Source organism: Homo sapiens, chromosome 5, assembly GCF_000001405.40.
Source record: "Homo sapiens chromosome 5, GRCh38.p14 Primary Assembly".
In the NCBI taxonomy this organism is placed as follows: Eukaryota; Metazoa; Chordata; class Mammalia; order Primates; family Hominidae; genus Homo; species Homo sapiens.
This window is the reverse complement of record NC_000005.10, coordinates 28,387,209-28,410,871: the sequence shown is the minus strand read 5'-3', so window position 1 is coordinate 28,410,871 and position 23,663 is coordinate 28,387,209. Positions and strand designations below refer to the sequence as shown.

At 36.7% G+C, this 23,663-nt stretch overlaps 1 annotated feature.

The window, feature by feature from the left end:
• Positions 7,747-8,248: an enhancer, noted in NCBI's record as "NANOG hESC enhancer chr5:28402731-28403232 (GRCh37/hg19 assembly coordinates)". NCBI's record gives its function as "activates a minimal SCP1, AML or CMV promoter by ChIP-STARR-seq in primed H9 embryonic stem cells {active_cell/tissue: H9 hESC(primed)}" and the evidence as "EXISTENCE:reporter gene assay evidence [ECO:0000049][PMID:30033119]".

Sequence of the window (23,663 nt, the reverse complement as noted above, 5' to 3'; positions counted from 1 at the left end):
TATTTACTCAATCTCCGCCTGACATTAGGAAGAAGCTACAAAAACAGCAATAAGGCCTCAAACACCTGTGAGCCAACTCTTAAATGTAGCCTTTAAAGTTTATAACAATAGAAATAGGGCAAGAGAGGAAAAAAAAATAGCCAAAAAGGACAATAGTAAACAGTTAATTTAAGTCACCTACCCTCTCAGGGTTACCCATCTCAAGAAAATATAGCAAAATCAGCATCTGGAATGCCCAGGCGAATGTCCCTGACTCTCTGGCCCCTAAGCCAGAATCACTGTACCTACTATAAGCAGAGTGATTGGCAATAGGAATGTCCTAACTCTCCCTGGTGAGAGAGAGAGAAAAAATAGAGCTCCCCATCAATATTAGAGCTGACCTTCTTGCACTAGTCCCAAAGAGCTGCCTTGCTCAAGTAAGTGTACTGGGAGTCTTGGACCCTTGCCCCACAGACAGCTTCCCACAGTGGCAGACAAGCAGCTGGACAAACATGTTTCTTTGGTGTCTCCACTGCTGGCTGAGATCTCTAGTGGCTTGGTGACTCCAGAGTTTTCCCTTGAGCAATGCTGTTTGCCCCTTCCTTTCCTTATTTAACGCTATGAGATCTTTTTCCTGTCTCTTCCTGTTTTCCATAACCACTGGGACAAATAAAATTTGTCCAGGTAGATGGGTCCCAATTTTTTAATTACTTGAATTCCGTTTTCTTGTATAGGTCATTTTATTTAATGTGCTTGTTTAGGTGTATATACAGGTATTGCAAAATGTATTGTGTCTAGCTAACGTATTATCAAGTTGGCTTATAAATAAAAGAGCATGCATAAATTCAATAAAACTAGTCAAAGCTTATTAGCTTGAAGAGAATGTTGTGTTCTGAAATTTAACATTGAGATAGTTTACCTAGGTATTACCGATGTTCATAGGCTTCCAAATGGTTAAAATGGCTTTACATGGTGACTAGTTTTGCATAGTATCTTGGTTCTTGGAGGTGGTCTAGTTATACCTGTCAAAAGTGAAAGTGGAATAGATACTTTGTGAGCTTGCTGTGTGGTTTAAATTCTTAAAAACAACAGAAAGGCTTGGTGCAGTGGCTGACGCCTGTAATCCCAGCACTTTCAGAGGCCAAGGCGAGCGAAAAAACTGAGGTCAGGAGTACAAGACCAGCCTGGACAACATGATAAACCCCATCTCTACTAAAAATACAAAAATTAGCTGGACATGGTGGCATGCGCCTGTAATCCAAACTACTTGGGAGGCTGAGGCAGGAGAATTGCTTGAACCTGGGAGGTGAAAGTTGCAGTGAGCTGAGATCTCACCACTACACTCCAGCTTAGGTGACAGAAAGAGTGAGACCCTGTCTCAAAAATAAATAAATAAATAAATAAAAATAAATAAATACATAAAAATAAAAAGACAAAATAATTCTCATCTATAGAATGCCAATGTCTGGTGGGCAATTCAAAATTCTTACTTCCTAGGTTTATATAAAATGTACCAAAGAATTGTATTCTTTATGAGGAAAAAAATAATTTTTGTCTAATATAGAAATTATTGAAAGGAAGTTTCAAAATATGAAAAAACTGGTGAATAGAAAAGGGAGATGTAAAGAATGTTATGTATAGAAAATGTATTTTTAACAAGGAATTGTATAAAGAAAGAGTAATTTTAATTTATGTCCTAGAGTAAAATGGCTGATTATTTAAGAAAGAGGTAGTATAGGACAAGCCAGAAAGTTCAAGCATGTTGTAGATGGTCCATGTCCATAATGATAAGATTTATAAAGGGGAATTTATGAAAAGATTCAAAGGAAATTATCTATTACAGACTTCTTAAAAAATGGTCTATATTATCACAACCAAGTTTTCTTAAGGTATTAATTTGCTAAATTACCAGAAATTTTTATTTTCAATCCTGTAATCTATTTTTTTAAAGCTACTCAGATTCATGTAACCTCCTTCACATTTTGTCATCAGCTCTTGTGAATTTTTCTTCTCTCATTTATGACTGCTCTTGTAGCCTGAAGCTAAAGTGTTTTTTGTCTTAAAAGTCAGTGGGAGCAGTGTTTTCTCCCAGTATAGCTTAATTCTCATGTTCTTGGTTTTCCTTGATGTGTAACCTTATTTTGGCTTTTGGTTTTTGACTTTTATTTCACTTAGAAATGTTTTGGAGGCTGGGGGGAGCTTGCCCAACTCCATTACCTTTGTCTAGGAGGGGGACATCTGTTTGGTCTGTTGGGGGTTATAGGTTTTGATTTTTGTTTTGTATTCTCCCTTTTTTTCAAGGTGTAACAAAGGCAATGTCAATGGCTAACCTTTTATATAAAAACTTGGAACAGAGGTAAATATACGTTGGCAACTCTTGCCTCTCCAGGGGTCACTGTCTATAACCCTGTAAGATCCCAGAATACGAGAAGTAAGTGAGCAATAGGAACAATTCCAGCCTGAATCAGAGCAGCTATAAGACTAGCAGTGCCCTGAGGTGGCTTTGTCTACCATGAGTCAACCCTAAGGAACTTGACTAAAACCTTGGAAACCTCAGCCACCAACACAAATCTGGCACTAAAGGGAATTCAAGAGTCACTAGACTCTGGCGAATGTAGTTCTTGATAACAGACTAGTGTTGGATTATTTACTAGCTAAGCAAGGTGGAGACTGTGCAGTTATTTCTAAAACCTATGCACATATATTAACAACTGTGGACAAGTTGAGATTAACATTCAAAGACCTATGAGCAAGCTAGCTGGTTACATAGATATAACTAGGGCACTGACCCCAACTCTGTCTGGTTGACAATTAAATGTACCTTCCAAGGTCTCTCCTAGGACCTTTAATAGCTGCCTTGTTATTACTAATCTTTAGCCCTTGCTTATTTAACTTCGTAATAAAGTTCGTGTCTTCTAGATTACAACAGTTCTAGGTAAAGACAACGCTGACACAGGCCTCCCAACCCATCCCACCTGCAGACCTGGAGAATAAAATCATACTGCCTCTGGGACCCTTAGATTAGGTATCCAGAAATTTTTACTCCTTCGATGCTAGGCAGGGCTTTTGCCCATAAACTCAGTAGGAAGCAGTTACACCATATGGACTTCCGCCCTTCTGCAGCACTCTTAAATTTAAGGAGGAGTTTCTAATCTCTGAAGAGGGTGTGAGGTAGGAGGTAGAACTCGACTCCAGAGGTGGGGTTCAGACAATGGACCAAGTTGACAACTGGCTAAAGCAGGCTGAAGGGCCATCTCCCCATGAGACACGCATACCAGTGGGCCATGTCAGTTTGCCATTGGCATGGCAACATCTGAAAGTTACCACTCTTTCCCATAGCAATGACCCATTGACCTGGATGTTATCACCCTCATCCTAGAAATTTCTGCATAAACCATTCCTTAATTTGCATATATTTGAAAGTGGATATAAATATGACTATAGAACTGGCTCTGAGCTGCTACTCTGAAAACACTGTCTATGAGGTATAGCCCTACTTGGCGTGGAGCAGTACCCCTGCTGCTGCCATACACTGCTGCTTCAATAAAAGTTGCTGTTTAACACCACCAGCTCGCCCTTGAATTCTTTCTTGGGTGAAGCCAAGAATCTTCCTGGGCTAAGCCCTAATTTGGGGGCTTGCTTGTCCTGTATCACATTCGTACTTCTATTTCTATCTCTTAGTCATATTGACTATCTAATGCAAAAGACACTCTAAAATGGATCTTTTAGGTTTGAAAATGTTTGCCTTAGAGAAAAATGTTTAAAGAAGATCTATAAAGGAAGGAAATATAGTATGGTAACATTTAGTATCTGCCACAAATGTATTATAGTAAAAGAATAAATTAGAAAATAAGCAAGTGTGAGAATTAAACATCAGTAAAGGAAATTTAATATTATTCCATCTATCTATCTATGAAATTTTCATCTTCATTCCCTTTTATGTTGCTGCTTACCACTGGTGAGAATATTTGATTAAAGAGGCATAGAGTTTGTTAATTGAAATAAATGTTGAATTGTCTTCTGGGACAATTTGTTAGTCTGTTTGGGCTACTATAATAAAATACCATAAACTGGATTACTTATAAACAACAGGAATTTCTTCCCATAGTTCTCAAGTTTGGAAAGTCCAAGATCAAGGCACTGGCAGATTTTGTTTCTGCTGAGAGCCCGCTCCCCTGTTCAGAAAAGGCATTTTCTCTTTATGGCCTCACATGGTGAAAAGACAAAGGGGCTCTCTCAAGTCCCTTTTAGAAGGGCATTAATCCCAACCATATGAATCAGCTCTTTGCAGGCAAGAAAATAATGTGATTGTTTTAGATTTTGAAAACTATGACAAATATAACACTGGCTCTATCTATATACAAAATATCTTACTTTGTGTCATCAGAATTAAATGAGTTGTGATGGCCAAGGCATAATATGCATTGCCTCACTACTTTAGCATGGAACTTAGATTTTAGAAAAATTACTGTGCAGTAGGAAGGACTAAGAAGATCTTGGAAAACAAGAGATGGAGGACTAGAAGGAGTGACAATTAGAAGGAAAGAGGGAAATTTCAAACTATGTGAAGATGGCAAGAAATGGCATGTGTATTAGTGATGATATAACAGCAAAAATTATTTTTTCCTGTTGTTAACTTTACTCAAAGCACTTATGACATTTCTGTCATAAGTGAGATCTCATATGTTTACCCTGAAGTCACTGGAAGTGTTTGAGGGCAATAGAAAAATAGTCAAATTTAGATTTCCATTTTAGAAGACTTATTCTGGTGGCAGAGTTTATAATTCATGTATTTTGAATGAGTAGACACTGGAGGCAGGAAGATGGTAAGGAATCAAATTCAGCAATTCAGGAAGAAAATAATGAGCTCCAAATTAGGGCACCAGTATTGCAAAGGGAAGAATGGAAGTTAAAAACTCTTGTCAAGTTGTATCACTAGGATTAGCAAGTAATTGGCTGTGGAAATTTGAAGACAATATATCTAAAAATTTATCTAAGGGTCACAGGGTAGAAGACAGCATTGCTCTTCAAGATAGAGCACACACTGGAAAGAAACATTTGTCAGTGAAAGAGGTACAATCAAACTGAGTCACATTTATTTTTAATTGTTTGCTAAATATCCAAATAGAGGCATTCTGTAATTACTGGAGAAAGAAATGTAACTGTCGAACTCAGGTTAGAAATATAGATATTTTAAATGTCTCTGCTAGAAGAACAGATTGTTCCTGGAGGTCAATGTCAGAGAAGAATATGTGGCAGAGAAGAAAAAAAACTTAACAGGAGCAAAGCCTAGAATCTGGGGAAATCTTTATTAGAAAGACAGAGAAAAGAGAGCTGCAAAGAAATTGAAAAAAGGCAATGAAGCAGTCATAGGAACAACATGGCATAACATTTTAAATTGGCATAACATTTTAAATTTTGAACATTCTGCCAATTCGTACTTTTTTTCTCATTAAAAGAAAAGACAGATATAAGTAAAACAATAATCATGATTGAATCTTTGAGGATGCCTGATTGTATGCCTCAAAAAATGACGACTCTGGATATTTGAAAAGATAAGGAAAATCAGAGGACAAGTTGTTATGGGATCTCTGGGTTGTCGCTTTTCTGGCCGGAAACCTCTGTGGCCGGTGGCGCTTTTGCCCTTCTTTTGCTTGGGCGCACTTGGCTCGTTCTGCCCATTCAGCCTGGCAGGCTGTGCTCAGCTCATGATACTGGCCTGGATCCCACACCTGCCAAGGATGAGCCAGGCATAGAGCGGCAAGGCGTGTGTTAGCGAGCGAGCGTAGGGTCTGGCCACTGTGCACAGTCAGGCATCCTAGCTGCTGCAATGGGGCAGGCAGCTCCAGGTGCGCCTGCAGCAAGTGCCAAGCAATGGTGCAGGCAGCAAGGGGCACCTGCGGGCCAGTGCCAAGCCATCCTCATCCCCGCCTCGGCTTCCTCTCTTGCAGTCGTCCATGCCCAAAGTTTGGAGGTGGCCTAGGCGGCAGGGGGCTGTCGTGTCAGCGCTGCCCCAAGTTTGTGCACACCCTGCCAGGCTGTGACAGTGCCCAGGCACAGCTTCGACCCCGCTCCAAGATCAGAGCGGGTGTCGGGAGTGGGGAGAGGCCAGGCAGTGGAAGCAGACACCCCCAAGCCTGCAGCGAAGGGGGACCCTTCCCAGGACCTCGACGGTGCAGACTGAAGAGACAACTAGGTCCGCGTCTGGGAGGGTAGCTGCAGCTGTACCCGGGAGGCTCCCACTCCACCAGCTCAGAAAGGTCGGGGCACCTGCTTGTCCCCGGCTACTGCTGGCTCTATAGAGCACGCCGCCCTAGCCGAGCTTCTGAAATCCAAGCCGGCGCCAACCTCGGGGTGAAGCCAGGCAGCGGGATTAGGCCCTTCTGAGCCTGCGGGGGTAGAGGGGTCTTCCCGGGCCCCCAAGAGCACAGGTCTGGAGCCCGAGTCTGGAGCCGTGGCAGGGTGGCTGCAGTGGCACCTGGGAAGGGCGAGGGTCCTGCCTGCTCCATGGAGCGTCGTAGCCCTGGCCGTGCTTCCCCATTGCCGCTGGTGTCTTGGCAGCGGCCACTTTAAATGGGCCGCTGCTGCCATCAAAGTGACTACAGGTCAGGGGCCACAAGTATGACTTGGTGTTCAACAATAGGAACAAAGGCAAGTCCCCATTCCGTGGTCTACCCTGCCTTTGCAATGACTTTTCTTCTAACCCTTTCACATTTCATTGTCAAATTTCAAAGTCCCAGAAAAGGAACTGGTTGCCCATCTGTACAATACATGTCTGCTCTATGACTGTGCTCAGGCAGGGAGCTGGAAAAACTGGCTCCCTGTGGTTCTGAAGGCAGCACCGCTTCCTTTGTTACTGCACACAATGGGGAATTCCACATGAGGGAGATAATAATGTGTGAGGGGTGTAGACAGAGAAACTAGGAATGTTAATGATATGCTGAGTGTTTATCATGCGCCACACACAGAGCTGCAGGATTAACACGCATGCTCTGAGATAATTATCATAATTTGTGTGGCTTTATTATTCTTAATGCACGCAAAAGGAAACTGTACTTTAGAGGATTAAATACTCTTTCTAAGGTCACACGACTTATAGATGGTGCAAGAATGAGAACTCAGCAAGTTTAGCTCTGTATACAAATTAGACCCTATTCAGGGCACTTAAACTTTAACAGTTCTCTATATGATTAACTTGCTTCTGATAATTCAACTAATTAGTGACTGAATTGTAACTAAAAACTTGTTAATTAATATCAGTATCGGGGGTATATAATAAAATGTTCTATACCAACTAATTGAAAATAGGGGAGTAAGAACTAGTGCTCAAAGTAAAGTCATGAATTAAATATTTAACGGTTCTGGGCATAAATAGGTCTCAGGATATTAAGTGAGATTTGTCTTTAGCTTTATAATTTTGGTCAATATCAAAATAAAGAAGTCAGGAGAACGTAAGTTCCTCACCTAAGTTGAGGGCATATAAAAGGAAGTAAGAAAATTGATTAAAAGAAGATTAAATACTGGGCATTTACTTTGAATGCTTGGTTGAATGTTAAGCACTTTTATTTTCTTCCTTTTATTGAAAGTGCAGGTGTGTACTTCCTTCCTGTCTGTCTCCAATCAAGTAAAGGACTGATTTAAAGAGAAATGTTTCTAAAACATGACCTGTGTCCAGTGGAGATTGTGGAATAAAGAGATGAGTGCCAGACCCACCTCCCTGGAGCATTCTATACATAAAGGACTTGAAGTGGTTACCAGTGATAAGAGGATGCAGAGAGCAGCTTGGCCTTCCAGATTCTGGCAGTTCTTCTCAAGACTCAGGTGGACCCCATGGAAGTTAGCTGAATTCGAATTACCTAGAAAATACACCAGCCCAAGTAAATCAGCTACCAATCAGAGTCATCATATCAGTAAGACTACCGGGGAGTGTGTGAGAAAGGTCATCCAGAAGAAAATGAATCTCTTGTATTAGAAAGAAATACAGTGGAAGTTTTCCAAGACAGCCTCAAAAATTCACAAAAGAGCTTTATAAAGCAGAACACTGAAGAGGTTTCACACCTCTTTAGTGGAACCACAGGGTCCTTGCTCCTCCTTCCCTGTGCTTTCTTTTGTCATTTTGGGACCAGGAGATTAAAAGCAAATAAGGAGAAAAAGTAAAGGTGAAAATGAGCTAAACATGATAATCCTATCATGCCCACTCCCTCCCCACTGCAGTCTCATAAAACCCAAGTCAGGAACAACTGAGGTTTGAACATTAGACTTGACTATGCCTCTTTAACATCTGTGACTGCTGCAGCGTGTTAGTAAATGAGGGTATGCAGAAAACTCAGAGATATTCCTGAGATTCTGAGGAATCTCAGGGTGATTTGACAGAAGGTGATTTGACAAAACACACTTAAAAGACACGTGAGTAAAACAAAAATTAAACATGACTTCTGCTAGCTTACTTCACCTCGTTCAATAAGTCGGCTTTAAATATGAAAGAACAACTGAAAAAGACAAACTGGCTCTCATTCTGTGAAGTATGACCGTAAATAAACTGAATTTGTAAACATATTTAAAGAAAGAATAGGCCAACAATGAGAAATGAAGATGGACATGCATGAGATAAAATATTTGCAAATGATATTAGAAGACAATATTTCCAAGAAGATAAGAGAGAGAAAAGATGGGGCAGGGGTATGTAATTAAATAAATAATTACATAGAAAACTGATTATATCTACATTTTATCAAGTGCTTACTATATGTGAGGCACTCTGCTATGCATTATGATGGATTTAAAGCTATGAAAAATAACACAAAGTAATTATTCTTATTCCCATTGTACAAAATAGGAAACCGAGTCACAGAGAGATAAGCCAGAGTGAAGGCTGGTAAATGTCAGCAGAGACGCATACAAAGAAATAATAATTAAAAACTTATTTTTTGAAACAAACTACATGAGTGCCAGGTCTTAAGAGAACAGAACAGAGACATTGAATTCTCCTTAAAAAGGATTTAGTTTGGCCTTTTGGCCAATGCGTTTAATCAAGCTAACCTCATTTTTCATTTCACTGAGTCTGTTGGAAATTAAGCTTGATCTCATTAATGTTGTTTAAGCTGAATACTTTTGGTGAAAAAATAACTCCATTAAGCCATAAAGACACAATTAGTGAAATGTATTAAATGTGATTACAATGTGACAGATTATTTCTATAAGCATACCAAGCTTATAGACTCCAATGAATATTGAACTTTACAATATTAACTTTGGAGGAATAGACCATATTGCAATGAAGCTCTTCTGGTTGAAAACTTTTTTGCCTTCTCTTCATTTTGAATTCAGTTCAGAGTGGTTTTCAAGGCATATTAAAAATATCTTTCTAGAAAAATAATATTTAACCCAGAATTGTCCTGAAATGCTTTTTGTGTGTTTCTTGAAATTGAATCCATTTTTTACTTAGAAAACTATGTAAATATTGAAGGCATTTATAAGACTGATATGTGCTTTCTAAAGAGATATTTAAGAGAAATATTCCACAAATAGTTTGAACAATGGTAGCATCACCAATAGAAGCTTATAGCCTACCAGCTAATTACTCTGAAAAGAAAGCACTCAGAACATATTTGAAAAATATCAGCCATGGAATTTTATATTTAAAATTTAGCAATAATTTACTTATTGAGTAATATTAAAGGCAAGTTTATGCATCTAATAATAATGGATTGATTCCAATCAAGAGCTTCGCTACATTAAGATTATAACATTAGACCAGAAATGTACTTTGAGTTCACATATCACATGTATAAACAAAGAAAATCTTGACTTTAGAAAGGAAAATGTTATGCACTATTGTGGTGTCTGCAGAATTACATGCAATTGCACACAATTGGCAACAATTTGGTGAAATGTGAAACTACTGTAGCTTTATTTATGACCACTTTGTGAATATCATATGGTCATTTTTAAGAAGAAAAAATGACACATGGGAAGTTGAATGGCAGAAAATGCATAAAACATTTAAAGGGTGATTGGTTTGCGAGACAGATTTATGGATAATTTTCCTTTTCATTTTTTTTATTTTCTTTCCATATTTTTCCTCATGTTTTCAAATCTTTCAATGTGGTCCAGGATCATGTACTACCAAAATGAAAAAATATTAATATTCAATACCGAAATAAAAATAAAAGGGATGTAATTACACAGGCTGTGACTACTAGGAAGTGAAAAAGTTGAGGGCCACTTAAAGGTCACCTATCACAGTCTGTCCTTTGGCACCCATGAGTCATGTCATTCCAATATCCAAAATATATTCAGACCCTTCCAAGGTTTTCAAAAAATCTGCTCTAATTATAGTATCTGCTTAAAACTGAGAATCTCATTTTCTATATTAGGTCTAGATGTGAATGAGACTTCCTGGTTCCTTAACTACTTCTTCTTGAGTGAAGTTTCACTTGTTCCCTCCCTTTGAAATTAAAGAATATTATGTAACTTTAAAGCCACTCAATAGAAAGGGTGGAATAGACAGAAGATAACTATTCCAGACAGTCTTGGAATAGAAACAGATGGAAACACAAAGGAATCACTTTACAGATGGGAACAGCTGAAAGCACAAAGGAATCACTGACTCATGTCAATCCTGGTATCCAGTTAGGCAAATGCTGGAAGTTTTTGAATAGGACGTAAGTCCCTGGAATAATTTTCCATTGCTTTTGTGTTACCCTTTGAATTCATGATTATGCCGTCTGAGTTATCCAACCTTCTCCATGCTTCCTTTTGCATGTGTTTGCTGCTGAGCAGGTCTTTCTGCCTGATTTCTGCCAGTGTTATTCAGAAGGTCCAAAGGACTCTTTCAGTCTGTGCTGTTTCTGTCTTCCTCAGTAAATGCTAGTGATATTTCTGAATATCTAATTCTTCCAACAATGTGTGTGTCTTCTGTGAGCCTTCTTGGGAAATACTCCATTAGACAAAAACCTCAACTACAGGTCTTTTCTTCCTACCTTTGCCTTCTTCTGAGATAGAATGCCCTTATCATAAAAGCCCTCATGTTGAATTGACAGGGTCTATGATATATACCTTATACCTTTAAAATCTTAGGAAGATTTCTGGTTTTGGCTTTATTTTTAGACCATGTTTTTCTTGCAGGGCTCTGGATTTTATCTTTGCTTGGAAATCATGTCTTGACTTTATTACCAGACAGCTTCTGAAGAGGCTATATGATAATATATTGATAAAGGAAAAACTTCAGCTGAATTAAATTTAAATGAGTTTAATTGAGCGATGAATGATTCATGAATCAGGCAGTCCCCAGAATCACAGCAGATTCAGAGAGACTCCAGTGGTACCTTGTGGCCAGAACAAATTTATAGACAAAAAAGGGAAAGGACATACAGAAATTGGAAGTAAGGTACTGAAACAGCTGGATTGGTTACAGGTTGGCCTTTGCCTTATTTGAACACAGTTTGAACACTCAGCATTGTATAAGTGGTTGAAGTATGGCAACTGAGATTGGCCAAGACTCAGCTATTGTTACAGGTGCATACTCCTAAGTTAGGTTTTCAGTCTTGTCTACTTATATTAAGTTATATTACAGTTTGACCACAAAGATTCAAATATAGAAGTATAGAGTCCTTCTCAGGCTATTTTTAGTTTGCTTTAACAATATGAATGCTATAATATAGTATATGAAGAAGATTTTCAAAACTTTCAAGTTTAACTCTCTTTTATTTAGTAGCTTTTCCTCTGATTTATCTGTCTTTTCTCACATTTTATTCTACAAAGTGAAAAGTCAGGTAACATCTTCAAGAAATTTTTCTCTTTTTTTTTTTTGAGACAGAGTCTCACTCTGTCACCCAGGTTGGAGTGCAGTAGCATTAGCTCACTGCAGCCTCCACCTCCCGGGTTCAAGCAATTCTCCTGCCTCAGCCTCCCCAGTAGCTGGGATTACAGGCATCTGCTGCCTAGCCCAGCTAATTTTTGTATTTTAGCAGAGATGGGGTTTCCCCATGTTGGCCAGGATGGTCTTGATCTCTTGACCTTCTGATCGGCCCACCTCGGCCTCCCAAAGTGCTGGGATTACAGGTGTGAGCCACCGTGCCTGGCCAATAATTTGTTTTAAAATATTAGATGACCCAATTCATTAGGCACATTCCTAGTTTACTATACTTCATGTAAAATTTATACCACCGCATTACAAGGATCCCCTTTGCTATCATTTCAATAAGGTAGTTGTCACTGTCCATTAAGCCCTCATCAGCATGTTCTTTGAGACTAAAATCTACAGCATGTCCTAGCTACTTCAACTTTTTGCAAACAATTTCTTCAAAGCTCATTGTTCAGTTCCAAAGCCACTTCCATATGTTAGGGGTTTGTTACTGCTACTTACTGGAAGCGAAACCTACATTAGTTATTTATTACTACATAATGCATTATCAGCCAACTTTTAGTATCTCACAATTTCTGTGAGCTAGGGCCAGAAATCCAGGTGTACGTTATGAAACTGAAGAACTCAGCACATAAAAAGTCTGTCCAAACTTCTGCTCTAAGAGATGAGCAAACTTTAGCATGGTTTCTTGCAGCATAAGGCTGTGTCCCTAGGATGACCCTGGTCTCCCTCCTCCCAAGTTAAATCTCTGCCTGAGAAAGCTCAATGATACCAAGAGAATTTGCTGTTTGTTCTAGCCAACACCTGACGATAGGCCCCTGATATCCTTTTCTTAGAGCATTTACTAAAAAGGACTTAGAATCATAAATTCTTTATCTACCACTTTGAGGTTTACGTGCATCTCCTATAACTCAGAAGTGTCTTTCTGAAGAACCTGAAAGCCATTCCTTTGAAATGTATTCATAAGAAAGGGTAGGGCTCTTGTCTTCCAGCCTTTGTGGGAGAATTTGATTCTTGACTTCAATAATTGCCAGCTAGCAAGCAGACACAGCTGGCCTAATCCATTAACACTGACCAAACCTTTGTAACTTTCAACTTCTCTGACTCTACTTGATCCCTACTTGCCCACCTCCCACGTTCTCCCTTTAAAACACCCAGTCACCTCCGCACAAATTGGAACCGAGCTGAGCTTTCCCCTCCTGTCAGTAGTTACTGAATAAAATGTTTTCAATGCTTCAGCTAATGTCTGGCTGTGTTTATGTTTAACACTTAGCTGGGTGCCTCACATAGTTCTCTCATGAGGTTATTGTTGCCTGGAGCTGTCGTTTCATTAGAGATTCAACTGAATGTGTGTGGGAGGAGGGATGGTCTGAGTTGAAATTCATTCATGTATTTTTGGCTCTTCCTTGCCTTTTGTTTCTTGACATGAAATATGGCATCCCCTGGGGTGAGAATTCTGAGAAAGTACAGGTTAAAGAGTGTCTAAGGGCTCCATTGTATGCCCAAAATGGAAGCCAGTCTAATTTTACAAGTGACATCCCATACCTTCTGCCTTCTTCTGTTAGCAGTGAGTAGAAAGTATGTATCATACTCAAGAAGGGAGCATGAAAAACTAGAGGGTGGGTGTCACTGAGAGCTTTCTTAGAGGCTGGTTACCACTATAACCACTCCATCTAATACATTCACTTCTTGTACTTCGTGTATGGAAGACATAACATAACTCACCTTAACGCAGTTGAGAGTCACTGGCGCTTGTTTCTAGAAACAACTGAGTAGCAACTCCAAGTTATACCACATATTTACACCATAAATAACTCACCAATTTGCTTAATTAAAATGATACAAACAAGTAGAAAATTGAAAACAAACATGAAAAGTTTTTGGTAGCAAATATAGTTCTTATAATTACAAAATCTTAATGCCAACTATCTTTGTTTTTTTTTGAGAAATCAGCTAGCTCAAATAAATAATATAATATAATGCCTACATATGGCAGTGCTTAGTAAATACTAATCATTTCTGCTTCTACTATGATTATTAGTATTATCAAATAAATATGTATTATTTTTTAAAAGAAAATCGTTTTAAAATAGTTGTTGAATGATTAGCTTTGGATCCTTTAGTGGATTTTTCTTTTTTTTTTTCCCCTGCAACACAAGACTACTAAATACCTGGTTAATAAATTACACTTAAAGAGATATTACTGGCCAGGCATGGCGGCTCACGCCTGTAATCCCAGCACTTTGGTAGGCCGAGGCAGGCAGATCACAAGGTCAAAAGATCAAGACCAGCCTGACCAACGTGGTGAAACCCTGTCTCTACTAAAAATACAAAAAAAAGTCAGCCGGGTGTGGTGATGGGCAATACAGGAGAATCGCTTGTACCCTGGAGGCAGAAGTTGCAGTGAGCCAACATCATGCCACTGCACTCCAGCTTGGCGACAGAGCTAGACTCCGTCTCAAAAAAAAAAAAAAGTTATTACTATTAGACAAGTATGTTGGCTCACACCTGTAATCCCAGCATTTTGGGAGGCCTAGGCGGGTGGATCATCTGAAGTCAGGAGTTCGAGACCAGCTTGACCAACATTGTAAAACCCTGTCTCTACTGAAAATACAAAAAATTGTCTGGGCATGGTGCCGCGCACCTGTAACCCCAGCTACTCGGGAGGCAGAGACAGAAGAATCACTTGAACCCGGGAGGTAGAGGTTGCAGTGAGCCAAGATCGCACTCTAGCCTGGGTAACAGAACGAGACTGTCTCAAAAAAAAAAAAAGGGTTAGTACTATCTACAATTTATGACAAATAAATATCTATGGCTTGAGTCTGAGTTCTTGGAAGACAGGAAAATAATACTTTGTTACTATCTGAAGATACTATAATTCAAGTTTTTAAAAATTATTAAAGCAAAGCATGCATAGTATAAATATAAAAAGTAACATATATCATGAGTGTACCATTTGCTGAATTTTCACAAAACAGTGATGTAAACAGCATACCAATGTGGAAACATTATCAGTAATCCGGAAGTCCGTTGAGATTGCTTCTGGTCTCCATATCCCACAAGGGTAACAACTAATCTGATTTCTTAAACTATAGACTTTATTTGGCTGGTTTTGAACTTTTGTACATTGCACACACTTTGTAAAAATGTGGGGCTATTATAAATAATGTTGTAATGAACATTCTTATATATACTTTTTTGTAAACATAATTTGCATTACTTTTGGGGTATATAGTAGATGTGGAATTGTTGTATGTGTACATTATGTTTAGTAGATGGAGGCAAAGAATGCAGGATAACGTCTGAGAGTTTCCACCAGCAGTACATAATCATTCTGTTTGCTCTCTATCCTTGAAAATATTTAGTGTGATCTGCCTTTTTTGTTGTATTGCCTTCCTTGTATTAGTATATTGATATCTCATTATGGATTTAATTTGTATAGGACATAGACCCATTCTCTTGATAGCAGAAATGTCAAAAAATGTGTAGGTATCTTTAACTAGTCAGAAAGGACTTAAAAATAAGGACTAAAGAATAACATATAATCTTATAATTGGCAGGAAAATATTTACTTAATAAAATTTACGTTAGTTAAGAAAGAATATATGTGTAACAGACTTTATATAATGAATTTTTTAATTTGCGTTCAACATGATATATACATAGACAATTTTGTCTGTAATCCACCAAAATTTTTTTTTGTAAGGTTTGCCGTGGTGATTTTTAACGTTTCTGTCTTCCTTGATTTTAAAACACGTTTAAAAAAATACACAAATATGTTCAGGTGTTATTTTATATACACATATATCTGAAATATTGACAGTTAAACCTAACCCCAAAAAGCTTTTTCCAGGAGCTTAAGCAAAATTAACGGCTCAAGAGGAAAAATAAAAGTAATTCTACAAGGGAAAATAGTCATAAAATCTTGTTTACAAATAATTAAATTCATAGTCACAGTCTTCCGTATCTCACTCATTATTTCTAAAATACGCTCCTAATTTGAAATATTTAATTATCTAACGTACTTACAAATGACAAATGCCAGAGTGTAAATTTAGCACTAAATATGTTTATAAAGAGTGAAACGGGGCAAAATTTCACAGGGAGTGTGTCTGTAGACTTATTACTTAGAGATTTTCTAAATACTTGAACTTAAAATGTACCTAAATGAGAAATGCAAGCAGTCCTGAGACAGAATCCAAGCTTATCTACAGCATTCCAATGCTAGAAAAACTTTGAATCACACAATTGGGAATTAGAATAATTACCCAATATATTAGCACCTAATAATGAATAATGTGCAGAAATATGCATTAATATTAATTTCAGATTCCACTTCAAAAATTTTATCTTAGATTCTGAAAGCTCTTTAAGCAAAAAATGTAAATTGCCTATGATCAGAAGAGGTATAAACATTAAAATGCAGCTATAAAGAGATTATTATGCTAATTAACTTTGAAAAAAATATTGAAAAGATTCATATGTAGCCCGTAAGTTGATTTCATGAAAATGTATATAACCATAAAGTATTCTGACAAATTGTCTATGCTAATAATTATCTGAAATAGAAATTAAAATACAAGAAAAGCAAACACGACAACATAAAACTGAAATATGTACTTGAAACTTAAAACTGTTTTTATTCATATATATAATTGTGTTTGACACAGAATCCAATCAAGATATTTAGCCAGATTTTAAAGTAGAGTTTCAAGCATATTTGACACTATAAATAAGGGCAGGCGTGGAGCCCGGGATTACAATCTTTGCCAGTAATTTTTGTAATAGCCTTCAGAGCATTCAGATTTAGTGTTAAAGAAAAAGTAGCTTTACTACTTTCCTTCTAGCAACATCAAAGTATAATGATGTATATTTTAATGTAAATTAATTTTTATTGAGTAGCACTGTGCTAATCAATAGCTATTTGCTAACACAACTCATTTACTTTATGTCAAATTTGTCCTTCACTTAACTATAGCTTTGAAATGTAGGCTACCGGGAGGACTCTTTCAGAACATTTAACTGCTATTATTAGAAACAGTATTATTGACTTTGTTTTTTGGATTTTTTCCCCCATATTTACAGCATCTTTTAGCCTGTCAGCTGCCTCATCATTTTTTTCTTCATCTTTTGTTTCTGAAAATTCACAAAGAAAGTTAAGTTTAAACTTAGTCACTTGAAGCCATGCAAATGGGTGACATTGATTTGAATGGTTAAGCTCTTCCAAGGAACCACTCTTTTTTCCTTAGGTGAACTAGTAACATTTTAAATTTATAAAGTCAGTTTATTTAATTGAAGAGTATCATATTATTCCCCTTAACATATTAATAGACTTTTAATTGCATATTTTAAAATTCAACTAGTAATAACTTTGATAGTTAAGAAGTTTAATTTGCTTTAATTATGTCTTAAGTTTGTAAAAGTATTTTTCTTGGTTTTAAAGGAAAAACAAAAACGGTATAAAATGTGGTCCTTTTTCTCATGACATTTTCAATTTGTTTGGGAGATTAAGACACAAAAATTAAAGAATTAAATAATATTTATAAGAATATTAAAATATTTAAATTGTTTCTAAATGCGAAAGCTTAATATAAGCTAATACATAATTCATTGTTGGTTATAATAATTAATGGATTATTAGAACTGAGACATGAGCTGACCTTAAAACATTAATAAGTGTTAACAATATGAATAAGAGAAAATGAATCATTTTAATTACAGGGAGCAATATGAAGAACTTCATTAAAAATATGAAGAACTGAAAGTAAGGAAAGCATATTTTAACAAAATGTAAATTCACATATAGCTTATTTATATTTATTTTATATTTATATACATTTTGTAAATAATGTGTGTGTGTGTGAACATATAGTGTTTAAGAAACAAAGTAGGAATATTCTTGACACTGAAAATAATGAATGTAAGCATCTTTATTCTCTAGATTTTAAAGAAGTGTTGGATCCACTAAAATTTTTTTGAGCATGGAGTGTAAATGTTATTATCTCTGTCCGTTTGTGCTACTATAACACAATACTTAACACTAGGTAATTTATAAAAAGAGAACATTGTGTCTCACAGTTCTGGGTGCTGGGAAGTCCAAGATCAAGGCACCAGCAAGTGGGGTGTCTGGTGAGGGTCCATTCCTCATTGATGGTTTCTTTTTGCTGTCATCATGTGTCATAAGGGCAAAATCTTTATCTTCATATGGCAAAAGAGAGGAAGGGTAAAATGCACTAAGTCTCTCTCTTCAGCTTCTTTTATAAGAGTACTAATCGGCAGGGCGCAGTGGTGATTTATGCCTGTAATCCCAGAACTTTGGGAGGCTGAGGCAAGTGGATAACTTGAGGTCAGGAGTTTGAGACCAGCCCAGCCAACATGCCAAAGCCCCATCTCTACTAAAAACACAAAAAATTATCCAGGCGTGGTGGTAGGCACCTGTAATCCCAGTTACTTGGGAGGCTGAGGCAGGAGAATCACTTGAACCTGGGAGGCAGAGGCTGCAGTGAGCCGAGATCTTACCATTGCACTTCAGCTTGGGTAAAAAGAGTGAAACTCTGTCTCAAAAAAAAAAAAAAAAAAAAAAAGTACTAATCCATTTATGAGGGAAACTCTCTTATGACTTAAGACTTAATTACTCCCCCAAAGCCCCACCTGTTAATATTTTCACCTTGGGGTTTAAGTTCCAACATATGAATTGTGGAGAGGTACGTGCAATTTAAATCATAGCCCAAGTCAAAGGATATTTTAGAGTGCAGAAATGAAGATAGCAGAAAAGATTCCCAATGCTTATTTGCTAAAGTATGTGTAGTAAAATAAAATAAAGACATAATCCTTCACTTTCATAACTAACCAAATTCATAAATGAATTACATACTTTTAAACACCTATAATGTATTTTAGATCAAAACACACATAAAAAGATAAAAATGCAAAGAGATCCAAAGACTGACAAAAATTCTTTAAAATGTACATCTTGTCCTTTACATTCCAAATACATTCCTGGAAAGTGTGGAAAGAAAGTTGTAAAGAAAGTGGATATGGAAAGAAAGTTGTCAGTAGTTTCAAGTACATTGCTAGAAGAAGAAATTCGCTTCAAAGCAAAACTTACTTCTGCAAATTAGAACTTAAGTTACCTCTTGTGTGTCAACCTAAATAACAGAGAGATTATTTCATAGAAGAAAATTACATTTATTTGGGAATAGGAATTTCAATGGGAATACATGTGCTGTAGTAAACCATGTGGGTATTCAGGGAAGTAAAGACTTTTTTTTTTTTTTTAATGAAGAGGTTTACATAATAGTTTTAGATCAATTGTCTTAGGCTGCAAGAATCGATAACAAGGGTGGCACGAATACAAAGTTGGGCAGGGAGTTGTTGGGCAAATGCCTGCACAGTATTTTCACGTGTGTGTGTAAGGTTGCAATGGCCTTTGTGCAAGTTTGTGTTTTTGCAGTCTTCTGTGGTAGTTCTTGTTATCAGGCATCCATGCATAAGAATGCTCCCCCATAGCCTTCTCAGTTCTGTTTGTCAGGATTTTTAACACAAGTGACTCCATTTTGATTCTGTCTGTTTTCTCACATAGTCATGTAAATGCAAGTAAATAAAGGTATTGTTGCCATGGAGGTGGGGTGGGGAAAACACATGTTTTTGTGATTTTTCTAGATGAGAGACCTACCAACCCAACACTCTACACACAGAGCCAATTGATAGTGAGAAGACAAGGGCATTTAAGGGATCTAGATATTGAAACATAGCTTTTTTGTCTCTTGAGTTTTAATCTGGTGCCAATTGGGGCCTTTCTTAGATGTGTTCATTAAGTAAGCTATTCAAGATAACACAGTGAGAAAATTGCTGAGCAATATTTCTACCTTAATAGCCTGATTCTGGAACCCTAGCATTAGCCTGATGTTTATACTCTACAAAATCCTCAGTAGAATTATCTATGAGGAAGTCTCTCAGGGCAGATGCATTACACTTCCTAGCCAGTAAGTACATAGCCTTTATTTATACAGGCAATAATCTCTGGTAGCAGTAATGATATTCCCTATTCAAAAGGCATATGTCTGAGTTCAGGTTTAAGTACAATCAGAAAGAAGATTCAGCACTGTTTTTTGGAGAGCCAAATAAACTTTAGCGTTTCTTAAAATTTTCAGGAAAGGAAAAGAGGTTGAATTTGGATATCTAAAGTCATTCTGCTTTTATTAATAAATATAAGATCAACTCACCATTAACAAAGCAGTCTTTCTTTTGAATAGAGGGGTAGTGGGTTGAATAATGGGCCCCTCAAAAGATACGTGCAAGTGCTAAACCCCCAGGAACTGTGTATTGTGATGTGACTTGGAAGAAGGGCTTTGTGGATGTAATTAAGTTAAGGATCTTGAGATGAGATTATCCTGGATTTAGGGCAGGACTTAAACCCAACAACAAGGGTCCTTCTGAGAAACAGAAGACACACAGAGGAGAAAGCCATGTGTAGACAGAGCAGATTGGAATTAGGCAGGAACAAAAGGAATAACTGGAACCACCATGCTGGAGGAGGTGAGGAGCTGATTATCTCCCAGAGCTCTCATAAGGCACTTTGTGCTGCTGATACCTTGATTTAGGACTCTGGCTTAACAATCAGTGAAGGAAAAAATTTCTTTTCTTTCAAGCCACCCAGTTTACCCTAATGTGTGGTGGCAGCCCTAATATATGACTACAACAAGATTAAATAAAAATCAACCATTTTTGGCTTTTATAATATTAGTTAAAATATTAAAACAGGAAAATTTCTGATACTTTTTAATCTCTCACATGAATATGTAAGCAAAACATTTTAGAGTCTTGGCAATATAAGTTGATAGTTAAACTACATCAAAAACTTGAATGTTATTTGTTTTATAAGAGATATCAAATATTTGAAAGAAACACTTTTTAAAGAAAAATAAAATAAAAATAGAACAATACATGCCACATTTTCTTAATCCAGTCTATCATTGATGGACATTTGGGTTGGTTCCAAGTCTTTGCTATTGTGAATAGTGTCGCAATAAACATATGTGTGCATATGTCTTTATAGCAGCATGATTTATAATCCTTTGGGTATACACCCAGTAATTGGATGACTGGGTCAAATGGTATTTCTTGTTCTAGATCCTTGAGGAATCATCCTTTGTAGGGATCATGGATGAAGCTGGAAACCATCATTCTGAGCAAACTATTGCAAGGACAGAAAACCAAACACCGCATGTTCTCACTCATGGTGGGAATTGAACAATGAGAACACTGGGACACAGCGTGGGGAACATCACACACCAAGGACGTAGTGGAGTCGGGGGAGGAGGACGGATAGCATTAGGAGATATACCTAATGTAAATGATGAGTTGATGGTTGCAGCACACCAACATGGCACATGTATACATACGTAACAAACCTGCATGTTGTGCACATGTACTCTAGAACTTAAAGTATAATAAAAAAATAGAATAATACATATTTGACTTCCTGACTGGTAAAAATACTCTAGAGGTCTTGTTTATTTGTTTTAGGCAGGTATTACTAATATTTCATTTCTCATAGGCAATATAAAGGTATGGCTATGTGTATTAATTTCAGACAATAAGGGGGGGATATTGGGGCCCTGCCACTGTAAACTGTGTGTCCTCAGGCAACTGGCCTACTTCTCAGGATAAATTTACTTGTCTCTACAAGGGCAAAATAAGACTGCCTACTGTAATGAAGTTCTGACAACTAAATAATATAATGTATGCAATCGTGTTCTATTTATATTGATATTAGAATAATAGTTCCTCAAAGGGGTAGAGAAATGATTGCAAATGTCATACATAAAAAATATTTAGCAGAATGCCAGAAATAATTATTAAAATATTGTTTTTCTATTATTACTATTATAATTATATTATTATGGTGTTTTTAATTTAATTTTAACTATTTTTAAATTGAAGTCAAATGAGATAAAAGCTTTACAGGAATGTAATGTATCCTTTGAGATGGAAAAACCTACATAAAGCTTATTATAACAAATTGTAAAATTTCAGAAATAATAATTTATTTCAATACACAAAATGTAGTAGCCTTCCATTAAGTAATTATTATTTACTAAAGAATAAATCAACACTTTGTTAATAGCTTTGATAATTATAATTACCTCTGAACATCTGCGTAGTTTATATATGGCAGGTTACCTGATCAGTTTGCTAATAGGAAGCAGAAAGTTTTAAAATATTTTTATCGTTATGTCCTTTGTTAGGTTTCTTGAAAAAGTCCAGATAATTCATATACATGTTAGTCTAAAGTTCTTTTTCTTTTTCAGATAATTAAAGAAACCATTTCTTTAGGCAGGACCTAAATGCCAGTGGAATAATTAAGTAGTAAATATTCTTTAAACATTGCTTACACTGCAATTTTTCTCACATAACAAGTTTGCAAAGCACTTTATAGAAAACTTCAAATATACTTCAACGTAGTTAAGAGAAGAGCTACAGTTTGCTAGCTAACTTACCTACTTTATTTATAATATATCTATCACAATTTGCAATTGCTGGCATATTGGGAGAAGTAGAAATTGTATTTATTTTAAATAAAATTTGTACTACTTGAGTGATGGATTTATATTACTTTCTCCTCAGTAAAATTTTATTTTATCATACACTGTCTAAAATGGAACATTTAGTACTAAAATTTTGGAATTTTGAAGATACTTTCCACAAAATATATTAATTTGTTTTGACACGTTCACCTTTAATTTTCTGGACTAAGTATTGGCCATAAGTATTAAAACATTATGATGTTTTGCTACTTCACATTTGGTAAGACACCACATTTTTTAGCCCTAAGAACTTCATCAGATGAATAATTTTGAATACGATGAAAAACTAATATAATCCTATTTCAAAAGCTAGCAAATGCTACCAACTTGAAGTTGAAGCTGTCTTATATATTTAAGGCTCTGTGTAAGCCCATACCGTCATACATGCACAAGCACACACAGAAACATTCACTTACAGTATGTTCTAAAGGACAAAATATAATTTTCTCTAGCTTTAGCATGTAAAAATGTCTACGCTCATATTAATGATTTATTAATGAAGGGGATAGCCTATTGTTTTGGGCAGGAATGTTTAGCTCTCCATGCTCAAACCTTGCACTATACAGGATACATGGAAGGTATTTTTTTTATTTTTTTTCAATGAATATTATCTTTTCAGTGCTTCACTTCATAACTCTACAGCCATCATCTAAACAGTTTGGAAACCAATTTACACTAGCGATCACAAAAAAAGTGAGACAAAAAAACAGTTTATTGCTTTGCTCTTCAGTAGGCTTGGATGATATACATACAACATATACTCCTGTCCATAAGCTCTGAGCAGCCTAGGACATTATCACTCTGCTAGCACGAAAATAGAATTTTCAGATAAGACTCACATGAATCAGAGACTTTATTAATAATTGTAAGAATATAAGGCATCGAGGGGCACAGCCAAAATGAGCAGAGGTTTGGGAAATTCAGTCAGCTCCTCAAACCCTTTTATTCACATCAGACACAGTCTGAGATTAATTCTCTACATGAGGCTTGTGGATAACCTTCTGTATTTAAGTTTTGAGACATCTCTTTTTTATAGAGTGGTGTGCCTTATAACTCTATGGATTTCAGGTTTGTTTACTATATGCTAAACTGGGATCATTCTGCTAAGAGCAATCCATAGATAGTACTCTCCTTCTGGCAAACATCATTAATCTGTTTGCTGAAAGATCTGCTATCATTACATTTACAAAGAGATTAGAGGACATCTATTGCTTGCTTTTTTCCTGCAG